We start from the raw sequence: 13737 nt of genomic DNA on the forward strand, positions 1-13737 counted from the left end.
CTTTTCCTCCCACTCAAACATATGCATAGCTACCCTGCAAGCAGGTCGTTCACAGAACTTTCATATCAGAAAATGCTGGATTTTCGCACATTTTTATATTTAAATATCTAAAAATGTTCCCTTTCCAGTTTGCCTTAAGCAAATGTGCTGACACAATGAACAATGAAGGCAACTGGCTATGACAGAACCCAAAATTCTGCCTCAGAACTTGAACACTTCCGACTTGCAACACCCTATTTGTTAGTCTTATTACAAATCCTTTCCTAATTGTGGACAGGTTTCCATTGTTACCCAGTTAATTATTAGCCATAGAAATTTATCTATGATAGAATTTATCTCAGTGCTTAATGTTATTAACTATCTTGCCCACACAAATGGCAAAAAACCTGTTAACAACACTGTTCTAACTTTTGACAAAACATGTTTAGGGCTTTACTCTGGAGGGCAGCTCTCCAGTGAACAAGTAGTTAACAAAATGACATTTCTCTTCCTGTCCTGGTAGGTTCTACATCACTTTCCTCAAGAATGATAACACTGCTACAAATACAGGTGCAACATATTTTTAGTACTAAGATTTCACAAAGCATTCACGTTTCTCTCCTGTGCATATGTGTCAACAGTATGTGGCCTAGTTTAAAGAACCTAAATGGAAATGTTCACTGGTGCCCTCTAGTTGATCATTGCTAAAGCAATTTTGAGGAAGTACACGTGTACCTCCATCATCCCACTCATAAATATTGTAAAGTTCCCAATCAACATTCAGCCATTAATTCCTGACATAAAATGTGAAATAAAAAATGAAATTTAGAAACTGCTTTATTTCATAAGGTTTCATTATGCATTTTTTTGGAAAATGAACAATAAAGAAAAACTTTGAGAAACAGAAAAAAAAACCTAAAAGATAAGATGAGACATATTCCTATTTGCCAAAGAAGAAAGAATGTATTAATACTTAATATTAACTCAGAAACCAAAAATGTTTCACTAATTTTACAAAAGGATAGTTCAAAATCAGCCAAGGCACCCTGAAATGATCATGTTTCACCCTGCTACATACATTTGACAGCTTTCAGTCATGGTGGTCTATGCTGGTCAAGTCTGAACTGAGGATCCTCAGATAATTTTAAAACAATACCAATATCCAAAGGAGACACTATTCCAAATTGCACTGACATATTAACTATCAATTCAGAGATCACCGATTGAATCCCATAAAAGGTTATTTCCATCAGCACTCTTAGTTTTAGTAATTCCAGGCCTGTTAAATTTACTATCAACAGAACAATTGTTTTTTGTTAAGAGAAAATGAAACTTCCTTACCCTAGATTAGAAACTATGCTATCATTACAGTTATTTAAATCTGTGAGATCATTTCCTGCATTGTCTCCTCCAATGAAGAAGTTAAACAAATCACCGTTTAAAATTTAAAAATGCAAAAATACATTTCAGAGAGTATGTGCGTTTATCTTTCTGAAATATCAAACAATGTAATCACCTGGTCACTAAATTTAGGACCAGATTATTTAATTATCTGGAAAGAACTGGGGGGAAGGGGAGGATATAGCAAAGGGCGATGCAGCAAAAAAAAAAAAAAATTGCTTTTTCAAATTAATCTTTCTAGAAACAATATTTAAATTCATTCCCCTATGTCACTAGTAAAATACCATGACAATAAATCATTTTACATGTTTTAACTATATTCAAAAAATGGGAAAATACATCCCTAGTTCACTATCCTACGCCCAGTCAAGGACAGATAACTCACATTTAGACTATAAAGTTAGTTTTCTCCTTTAGTCTCAGTATTATGATGGGATTCTGTTTTGTTTTGTTTTGTTGTATTGTTCTTTTTGAGACGCTCACTGTGTTGCCCAGGCTGCAGTGCAATGGTGTGACCACAACTCACTGGGACCACAGGTGCATGCCATGTAAAGATGGGGTCTCACCACATTGCCAGGGCTGATTTCAAACTCCTGGACTCAAGCAATCCTCCCACCTTGGCCTCTGAAAATGCTGGGTTTATCAATATCAGCCACAGTGTCCAGCCACAGATTCTGCTTTATTTTTAATTAAAAAAAATTACATCCTTACATCTCCTCATTGTTTAATAGTGACATTTTTTCATTTAGTAAATAAGATTGCTTCCAAAATATTTCATGGGCTTATGCTCATTGAAGTCATTATCTTCATTGTTTTCCCACCCTGCAATGCACCTGCAAGAGTGCATGCACACACATACATATTCAACCTTTCCCTCATGCCTGATCTCCTTTGATGAGGTCAAACATTCAAAGAACCCAAGGTATATTCAAGAGAGTCATCCTTAACTCCTCCTTAAACCTCAGCTCCCATGTCTAATCACCAAGCCATGACAATTTTACCAAGTTACCTCTCTTCCTTGTCTGTCTTCTCTCTAATTCCACTGTCGTGACCTTAGTTTTACCCTTTAACCCAGTGCTTCTTTCAGGGAAATAAAATAACTATCCTCAGTTCTCCCTCTTCTCCCAAACTATGCTCTACATGACCAAAAATGAGTTGTAGAAAACATAACTCTGACTATACTGCTCATTCCATCAAAACCCTTCAATGGCTCCTAGTTGTATCATACAAAGTCTTGTATCAGAGATTACACTATCATAATTTTTCATTTATGTGTTCGAACTTTCTATTTGATTTTGAGCTCCTTAAGGTCAGAGACTATGTTATACTTATTACTGCATCTCCAGCTCTCAGCAGAGTACCTGGCACTTTTGTTGAACTAAAGTGGACTGAATGACAGGACACTGCATTGACATTTTAAACTCCTGATGTGGCCATGCATGGTGGCTCACATCTGTAATTCCAGCATTTTGAGAGACTGGCAGGAGGATCTCTTGAGTCCAGGAGATGGAGACCAGCCTGGGCAACAAAGCAAGACCCTGTCTCTACAAAATATTAGCTGGGTGTGGTGGCATGCACCTGTAGCCCTAGCTACTTGGGAAGCAGAGGCGGTAAGATCACTTAAGGAATTTGAGATTATAGTGAGCTGTGATGATGCCACTGCACCCCAGCCGGAGCAACAGAGCAAGTCCCTGTCTCAAAATAAACAAACAAAGAAACAAATAAACAAAACTCCTGATGTGGTCTAACTAGACTAGATAAAAAGAAGGTATGGCAGAGCAATTCTCTCTGAAATCAAAGAAAACTGAATTCAACAATAGTCTTATCAAATCTTAGGCAATTACATAACCTCTCTGAACCTTAGGTTCCCAAGATACAAAATGGTGTTATGGCAAATGGAATAACATACACTGTGTGCCTCCTACAATAGCTGGCACCTATTGAGAAGGTGCTCAATAAATGGCAGCTATTATTATGTTTAGTGATTTCTGCTGTGCAATTATACATACATTTATCAGACATCAAAATGACCTATTTTGGTGCTGTCCACTAGACAGGTATCTATATATCTATACTGTCTAACACTGTAGCCGCTGGCCATAAATGGCTCTTGACACTTGAAATGTGGCTAGTATAACTGAGAAACTGATTTTTCAATTTTAATTAATTTAAATTTAGATAACCTCATGAGTCTGGGTGGCTACAGCACTGGACAGCACAGACCAAATTAGCCCTGACATCAATGGAGCACCCTTTAAGTGTCTATCATTTCCCCTTTCCCCAAAATCAGTCTTGTTTACAAGGATTCAAGTGCCAGTGTTAATTAGGGTCTATCTATGTCTTCATTTTTGTTAATTCAACATTGCCTGCTCTGTTAAAGAAATCAGACCTAAATGCCTATATTTTTCACTCCCTTTGCAAATTAGCTCTAACACTAGTAGAAGGGGCTCTACATCAGTAAAACAATCCATTCTATTTAAGAAATTTATCCATGAAAGTGTGAGAAGATCAGATAACAGAGTTCCATAGAGAATCTTCCTCAAATAAGCTCCTCCAAAACTTTGTATCTTTACAAAGTTAACGCAATTCAGCTTTTATTGCGTGTACTTCTTCACATATTCGTGCACTTGCTCTGCATTCCTTCTAACACTCTAAATTCATTGAAGGTAGAAACGATCTTGCTTCATTTCCCTGTACACATTTTGAAAGAATTACTGCCAAAGAAATGAATGAAGAATACAGTCCACAGAATGGAATCCCCAGCACAACACAGAGAGATGGATCAGAGTGGCAAGTGCACAGGATCTGGACCAAAAGAGCTTGCTTCAAATCTCAGCTCTGCCATTAACATTCTATGAGGTTTGGAAAAATCACCTGACCTCCTATCTGTCAAATAATGATAATACTAACTGCAACTCCTAAATATCCTATTAATATAATAATCTAATGAGATAAATCAGACATATAAATATTAGTGCAAATAGTGTAACTGAGAAAGTAATACAAAAAACACTTAAATCTCTATCTTGTATATTACTACAGAAAATAATGTCCCATAAATATGAAAAACACCAGGTATCTGTCTTGACAATCTGTATAAATGTCTAGAGGGAAAGATCAATTTTAAAATAATTATAAGGATGATTACACTTCCATTTGTAAACTGTAATATTAGTCATTACCGGTGGTGTAGTTTTTATCTGACATCAAGGTCATAGAATGCTGAAATATGCTTTTGTATATATGGCCTGTTCTCCTTAATTATACCTGTGCTGTAAAGATAGGGTCTGCAGTTTTCAAAAGTATTTGGTAAAAATAGTTCACTTTTGTTGTTTGCTTTTCAGTTCACAAAGCACTTTCACTTACATGCTTAAAGTTCTCTTCGGGACAACTCCAAGATAGGTTGAGGATTTTAGTATTTCCACTTTGCAGAAAAGTAAACTAATAACAACATCAGTAAGTAAAACCATCAGATTAATAACTCGAAGTCTAGAACTCCTGTTCTTGTACTCAAGGAATTTCCTACTGTTTCTCATTTCCAAAGGAGAACCCAGATTGTGTTCATGTATTCCCACATCAAGAATTTTAGCAAAATACTAGGTATTACACTGTACATCTATCTCATCATACATATGTATGTTTATATATAATTTAATATTAATATTAATATATAATTTAATAATTTTAAAAAGTGTTCTCACCCACACTCACTTAGCAGATCCTTACAGATAGGGTATGCCAGGTAGGACAATCACCATTTATAGATAAGGAAACTGGGTTTTGGAAAGATCTCAACTCTTGACTGTGTCTTTGCAGGGTTATGGAGATGAATGATCTGTGCACCTGGGCTATGGATCGAGATCTACTATCACCCAGTTGAGTAACTTCAAATAAGTCACCCAACCTCCCTGGGCCTTGCCCTCCTGTGTAAAATGAGAGACTTTGAGTCACTCACAGATACCACCTAGCTTTTAAAACTCTTATTCTGCAATTCAGCTAATTCGGCAACATCGCTGAGACACGGCCCCCGATGGTCTAAGTCCTTGCTGGTTCTTTGTCCTCTCTCAAACACTGTAATCCCTCTTAACAATATCTGTTTCTCCACAATCGAAAAACTGGACTTCATTAAGGAGTTCATTCTGTTTGTTTGTTTATCTTTATAGAGCCTTAGGCCCTGTTTATGTCCCATTTATTCTTTGATCTTTTAGCTATGTCCAGCCAGTAAAAACATTCCCTAGAAGAAAGGCTAGCTGACACATGCAGGCACAGGGGTCCCAGGGAAAGGGGTGTGCCCTCACCTGGCCTGGCCTCACTGCGCTGCCTACTGCACTTTCACTTTGGGGATAGGAGATGCTTGTCTGTGTTGATGGGTTTTGATATCTTTTACATTTTTATTTTTTAAAGAAATAGTACAAAACCCAAGGGTGATAGGAAAGACAGGCTCTTGCACCCAGGTCCAGGAACAGGGTCACAACAGATTTTAAACAATTTAAGTGGCCCAACTAAGAACATTTCCACCATAAAGAAGGGGCAAGTCCAAAAGAAGTCATGTCTAAGGGCACCTGGCTAAAAGTAGGGACTCATGTGCACAAATCCACACATACCCTCTGCTGGCATGGATAAAGCTCTTCCTACATCCCGGCGGAGGTGCCAGAGAAATAAGCAACCTGACCCCCCAAGAGTCTTTGGAGCCTGGCAGTAACCTGAGCTGCTCTAGGTTATTTTTGCTGATGGCTAGTGGTTCTTAAAGGGACTGTGTTCTAAGTACACATGTCCAGACACAGGATGCAAATTAATGATAAGACAGAAGTGATTGGTCTATCTTCATTAAACAAAGTCTATAAATGCTTATAATAGATAAACGAGAAGACATGTGAGCAAATATTTTAATGACCTTTCAAAGGGATCAATCATATATCCTGTGATATAACATCAATGGCTTAATACAAGGCAATACTGAATAACACACAATTCTGTTGGTGTAAAATGTGAAGACAGCAGGCATTCCCCCAAGGCTCTGTCCTTAGTGCAAGCCTCCTACGTAAGGGAATGGGGAGTCAAGATTACAGATGGAAATGACTTCCAGGACTGAGCTCTACAGTTATCATCCCACTTAAATGCTCGCTACAACTCTCAGAAGTATAATCATTCCATCGTACCAAAAAGGAAAGTGGAGCTCGGCGAGGCTTCGTAACATAGAGCAAAAGTTACATGACGGATGGGTGCAAGCCCCTTCCAATAATGTCTATGGGAAAGGTGAAGATTCCGAAAGCAAATATCCCACTCAATAAATCATTCTCATGAAACAATTAGTCCTTTCATTCTCTATCCCACATCCCTATATTGGCCAGGCAGGAACTGGAAAGTGGGACCTGGAGTCACAAACACCCAGGTTTGTAAACCTTTTCCACCACAAACTTGCTGGGTGACGTTGGGCAAGGTGGATACACTCCCTGAGCCTCAGTGGGAATAACAGTAGTATCTACATGATCAGGTTGTTTAGAGAGTAAATGAGGTCATCATATGTGTAATATATTTGGAATGGTGCCTAGCACGAAGAAACCCCACAGTAAAACAATTGCTCTTATCAGTTGCATTAGTATTCCTAATGCGGCAAGTGTGCAATTCAATTTCCCTTGAAAAATTTGATAATCTATAATCATAAGAAAAATCACGTAACAGCTAATTATCAAGCAGGTACTGTACAGATACTATCTCTGGTGATCACAATTTTGCCAGGCAAGTGATCTGACTCCCCTTTGCAGATGAGGGAACTGAAATTTACAAAGGTTTAGTATCTTGCCCAAATTACAACTAGCAAGTGACAGGACAGCGACTTTAATTTAGGTCTGACTTCAAAGCCCATACTCCTTTCTCTCAATCAAGAAATAGCCAGAGAAATGGCATGAAGAGCAGTGGGAACAACCCTCTATTCTATCCAGTTCTATTCTACAACTTGTTAACTCTGCCCTAAAGTCAGTGTGTAACCTCTTAACCTGTTTCACCTGCATTTTTCGGGGGGAGGGAAGCCTAATCTCTGCAGCATGTTATCCATCCATTATTGGTTTATAGGTAATTCTACAGAGAATGATAAAGTTCTCTGTAAACCTATTTAAAATATATTATTCTAAGGGTTCATTTCTGAGCCATGGCTCTTCAGAAATCCACAAGCCCCATATTACATAATCATGATAAAGCCACACAAATGCGTAAAAGCTTATAGTTCATAAAGCATCTTCACAAACATTCGCTCACTTAATCATCCTAACAACTGAGCAAGGTAGCTATGTGCCTGTTTCTCAGATGCTGAAACTGAGGCACAAGTTAAGTCTATTGCTTATAGTTATATAATCAATAAATAGTAGAGTTGCCATTTTAATAGCTGGGTTTTATGATGTCATATCTGTGTTCCATCCATTGTATTAAGTCCAGCTCAGGAAAAATATCAGCATCTTTCTAGTGTGATCTGCTACAATCTATAATATATCAAGGGACGATATATTATTAGCCTCTCCTTCTGTCTTTCAGGTACTATCTTTTACTTGTGTTGTAAAATATAGTTTTAATTAATTTCAACATTATTTCCTAACATAGCATAATACCTACTCAAGAAAACCATGTCAACAGGTTAACTTCCCAAAGTTTGACTGTTCAAGAGCACAGGGGCCATATCTTACTCATCATTTTATAGCCTGGAGTACCTTATGGCACTTAAAAGTAGATGATCCATAAATTAAACTGAATAAAGCTCAAGACAACTGTAACTTTATAAAATTATATGTCCCTATTTTACATAATAATTTTTAAAAACTTTAAGGTACTTTTAACAGTGAACTTGACAACAGAAGTTATGTTTCAAGATCACATTTATTGAGTGTCCAGCGTGTCTTGCAGTGCTCCAAGTGCTTTACATTTACTACTTTATTCCTGGAAAACAATTCTATGGGTAGGCACTAATTTTTTTTTATTTTACAGATGAGGAAACTAAATCAAGTTAACTTGGACAAGGGCATAGAGCTAGTTAGTGGTAGAGCAGTCATTTGAACGCAGGGTCTCCGGCATCCACAGCATGTGTTCAGAACCACTCCACTACACTGTCCCCACTGATAATATGCCAGACACTGTCCTCAGACCTTAATTCATCTTCACAACAACGCTGGGACCAGTAGAAAATCATCTTGGAAATTGAAAGTCGCCTTGATAATTCACTGGCACGAATTGGTATTCAGGAGAAAAATTAAGTAAACCAATTTAATTGTTTATAACAGTCCTGCTCCATGACCAAAAATATCACAAGTAGCACATCCATCACATTACAATTTTAAAAGTTGTTGGGAAAATAAAACTTAGAGCTACATTTTAACTTTAACACTTGAACTTTAAATTTATAGCCAGTTACCTCTTCTTGAACAGTATCTTGATATGTTTTCTGTGCAGTCTTGTACACTTCACATTGTTTTCTGTTTTGTCTTACAGTTGTGATTCTATCTAGCATCCACTGAAATTTTGGTTTTTTTTAAACAATAAAAATCTGGTAGAAATGTTTTTTTCAGGACTTAAATTTTTGTCTCTTTTCTTGCCTTCATCTTATTTTCTCATCTTTTTTTCCTTCCTGGTCAAATGATGTAGGATGGTATGTATAGCAATCTTCCAAAACTAGATGCTTAAGAGTAGGTTCCTCAAAGTTGAGTCTATGGGCAATCCACATCATTATCTCCAGGGCTGGGGCTCCAAATCTACATTTTTTCAGCAAGTTGCCAAGGTGAATTCTCTACATACTGGGATAAATCATAAGATTTTCAGTCTGCTGATTCCTGTAAGTGGTTCTTCCATTGAAGCCTTTTTCATTTAGCAGTGTGTATGTGCTAGTTTTATAAAAACATAAACTTCACTCTCTAGACTTCAGCTGAGAGTGTCACACAATATGGGGCATTTTATGTGCTAAATTTAAACCAAAGATTTTAACACACTGTATTATTTATTTCAATGTGTAGCAGCCAGGAAACACAACTAGAGAATAGAGAGTGGATCAAACCAGGCCTCCAAAGATAATGAATGGCTTAGGAAATGCACCCAACCTGTTTCATTTGAGTTTACCGAAGCAATAGATTTTTATTTTTGGTGTTTCATTTTCATATAAAACCTGACCATTTGCATCCCTCAATTAACCTTCATTATTAAAAACTACCTTATTGAACCAATTAATGGCCGATGTTAGAGAAAAACATTCAAATAAAACTTCATCAGAAGTTTTCATTTAATAGAAATTATTTAATTACTAACAATGCAAGAGATAAGCTAAAACTTAGAATGTGACCTTTTTTGAGATGTCACTTGCTGAAATGTTTGATTATTGTCCATAAAACCTGACAGGAAGTTCAGATTACTATATGTGGGTCTCTAAGAGAGGCTAATATAGTCAATTGTGTCACATCACCTACCTTCCTAATCTTCACACTTAGTGTTTGTTCTTCAACCTTATGGAGACACCCAGTTCCTCAATTCCAGCAGTTCACCATCTTCCTCCTCCTCCTGCTCTGGGTTTCTTTCACTATTGTCTCTGAATTCCACTGTGAACCACTTTGCCCTTTGTCTTGCCAGCATCCCAACTCATCTGATACCTTGTCCTTCATACCCATCCTAAAAAACACTCAATTTGGTTCACTGGTTTTTCGGTCCCTATGTAATCTAGAGGGGCTGAGAAAAAGCACCAATTTCACAGGCTGGGCTACTTCTGTGGAGCCCTCTGAATGTCGGCCTCTCATTCCAGGATGCTCTGCTCAGCACTCTCTGCCATTTCCTTCAGAGACAATTCCAAGTGTTCCCCATTTTTGTCAATATTATCCAGTTTTTCCAGATAAATAAATTTGCCTTTCACTTCACAAAAAAGAAAAAACAATAAAATAATGAATTTTTCAAAGAAAATTATGTTTAATGCACAGTTTCTACCCATAAACTTAGTAGTATACCTCCTTCTGCCCCAATCAGTCCTTTCTGGTGCTCAAAGCACTCTAGCTGCTCCAGGATTCTGCTCAATTATCATCTTTCCTCTATATCATCTACATTTCCCTCTCCAATGGCTCTACTTGGTCAGCACATATAAACAGGTTCACAATGATGCAGAAATGCTTTCTGGGTCTTACCTCTTATTCTATCATCTCACTCCTCCTACACACAGCCAAGCTTTCTTGAGGTACAGAGTATGACTATATTGTTCTCTTCTCTACCTCCACAAACATAGTTCCAGATAGGCCCTCAATAATAATTCTCATTGTTTCAATATTGATGCTGAAAATAGAGAAAGCCCAATAGAAAGGTGGAAACATAGTTCAGCAGCCACTTTATAAAAAGAGAATATACAACAGCCAAAAAAAATAGGAAAAGGGGCTCAACTTTGTTAACCACCAGAGAAATAAAAATTAAAACTATAAGGTACACCACTACATAGCCATCAGAATGGCCAAAATGCAAAAGATGAAAATACTACAGCAGGTTGAGGACAGTTAGGACCCTCATGCATGTTAGAAGGGGCACAAATTGGCATACCTGCTTTAAAAAGGCACGCGGTAATAACTACTAAAGTGGAATTCATGCAAGCCCCATGATGTAGCGACTCCACCCCTAGGGCTGCATCTGCAGAGATGTACCATAATATTCATAGAAGCACTATTTGTAAGAGCCAAAGCCAAAAGTAATCCAAATTCATCAATGGTAGAACGAAGAGATTATAGCACATTCATAGGATGGAATTCAATACAGTAATGAGAATGGATGATTGTTACACATGAACAAATCTCACTGACATACCATGGAGTGAAATAAGTCAGACACACACACATGACGCAGAGCATATGATTCCATATACATAAAGGACAAAAGCAGGCAAAAGTAATAGATATGGTGTTAACAGTTACAGCAGTTACCCTTGGGTTCTAACATAACTGGAAAAGGGCAAGAGATGTGCTCTCAGAATGCTGATAATGTTCAAATGGTGAAAATCCATCAAACTGTCTACATCCTTTTCTGTATATATATTATATTACACAATTTTAAAATCTGGATATACTGATTCATCCTTGAGCCACCTCTTATTCAAAACACTCTTGACCTCCTTCTCTGTCTCACTCTATAGATGCTAAGATCCTGAGGCCAGGGACTAATCCTTGTCTATCTCGGCTTCCCTACTTCCTATACAGAGCTTAGTACACACCTGCTCTCAACAAATGATTCTGGATGAGTGAACGAGCATGGCACCTCAGCCCCACTGATTTTGGTCTCTTTTATGCTCTTGATGCTGAAGTCTGCATTTTCAGCCTCTTCCCTGGGCTCCAGGTCTTGATCTCTGCCTATAGACACTGCAGTGATAACAACCTACCCTTTATTTGGAACTGGCTTTGAGTCTGGAGCTTTACCTATCACAAACAGCCTGCATGTTACTAATTATTACCCTCACTTTACAGACCAGGAAATCAAGGATCCCAGAGGTTTACCTAAGAATGCACAGGTGATAAACTGGAGAAGTAAAATTGAAACTCAGGTCTTTCTTATCCCAAAGCCAAGGATCTTTCCACAGACCACACATGACCACAGATACAATAAATCTAAAATGTAGGTCACACAGGCCGCGCGCAGTGGCTCACACCTGTAATCCCAACATTTTGGGAGGCCGAGGCGGGCAAATCACCTGAGGTCAGGAGTTCAAGACCAGCCTGGCCAACATGGCAAAACCCCATCTCTACTAAAAATAAAAAAATTAGCCAGGTGTGGTGGTGCACGCCTGTCATCCCAGCTACTCAGGAGGCTGAGGCAGGAGAATCACTTGATCTCAGGAGGTGGAGGTTGCAGTGAGGTCACACTACTGCACTCCAGCCTGGGCGACAGAGTGAAACTCCATCTCAATAAATAAATGAATTAAAATTAAAATTAAAAAATGAAATGTAGGTCACTACTTTTCTCAAAGGCCTGCTCATCTTCCTTATCCTGAGCAATATCATCACTACCCACTTTGTCACCCAAGCTGCAGTCCTGGGAATTGCCTTCAATTTCCCTCACCCTTCACACTGACTCAGCCACTAAGTACTGTGTGCTAAGTTTGACAGTCCATCCTGTGCTCACTATTCTAAATATCGCAGCATTAATTCAGGCTTTCATTGTTTTTTCGCTTGAATATTACTGTAATTGTCTGCACACCATGTCTCCCAAATCCGGGCTTGGCTTCCTCTGTATCATTCTTGTGAGGCTGCCTGAGAGATATTTGTAAAATGCTAATCGGAATATGTCCCCTGTCTTGCCTGCAGGACAGAGTTCAAACATAGCAGCATGGCATACCCTCCTTGACCTGGTCGTGGCCAAGCTCTCCAGATCCTTCCTTTGTGACTCTACTCCTCCTCCCACTTTGTAATCCTGCCATGTGAAGATTTACTGCTCACAAATGCATCTCTCTATTTCCAGGTCTCTGGATCCTTTTTTGCTAAGGCTTTATCTTCCTGGAATGCCCTTTCCCATGCTGTCAACCAGGCAAATTCCCACCCATCCTGCAAGAGGCAGCTCAAGCACTTAGTCCTCTGTCAAGCCTCTCAAGTAAAGCTGCTGCATTGCTTTCATGTCACAGCTAAGCTTTGTGCATCCTTCTCTTACAGCCCTTTCATAATGTATTGCAGTTTTTTTACAGACTGCAGCCTTCACTTCTAGACCATTAGCTCCTTGGGGACACATGCCTGCTCTTTATTGCATGCTCAGGCCCACACGCAATAGTCAACAATACTTGAACAAGTGAATTAGTAAATGAAACCAATTGTATGTGTACACATAATCTTAGTTGCAAATAATTTATTTTAAAAGCAAATCCCAAGAGAATGAACCAGGCAGAAACAATGAGGCAAGAATAGATCATTTATCTTTGTAAACTCTACGAGAGTGCAGCTCAAAGTGTAAGGCTGAAAACAACATTTAGCTGTTGTGTAAGTGTCTGCAGGAACATAGCATCCTCCTCTCCCAGGCCTCTCATCAATAATCTTCTCCTACCACCACCGCAGCCATCTCTGATCCTGGGCAGGGGTTAAGTACAGAGGTGAAAGGAAAAGGGTGAAGATCTGTATTTAATAGCCTATTTCCTGGATCCCTAGTCTCTGAACCTAGTGGAGAGAATCACTGATACTCAACCTCAAGTTTTTGGTGAAATAAAAATGGTCTAAACCTTAATAGAGATGATTCTTAGTGGAGAGAAATCTATTAAGGTCTAAACCTTAATAAACCTTAATATAAGGTCTAAACCTTAATATAATGTTAACAATAAATCTTAATAAAAGGTCTAAACCTTAATAGAGATGATTCTCAGGATAGAGCAGAATATTCCAT

General features: G+C 38.3%; 1 protein-coding gene across 12 annotated transcripts in view; it reads right to left on the reverse strand.

Annotated features, from left to right (window-relative positions):
* Window positions 1–13737, reverse strand: part of HIVEP2 (HIVEP zinc finger 2) — a 194265-nt gene that overhangs the window by 134911 nt on the left and 45617 nt on the right. The window lies entirely within an intron of this gene.

The sequence above is a fragment of the Homo sapiens genome, chromosome 6 (genome assembly GCF_000001405.40).
Source record: "Homo sapiens chromosome 6, GRCh38.p14 Primary Assembly".
Classification (NCBI taxonomy): domain Eukaryota; kingdom Metazoa; phylum Chordata; class Mammalia; order Primates; family Hominidae; genus Homo; species Homo sapiens.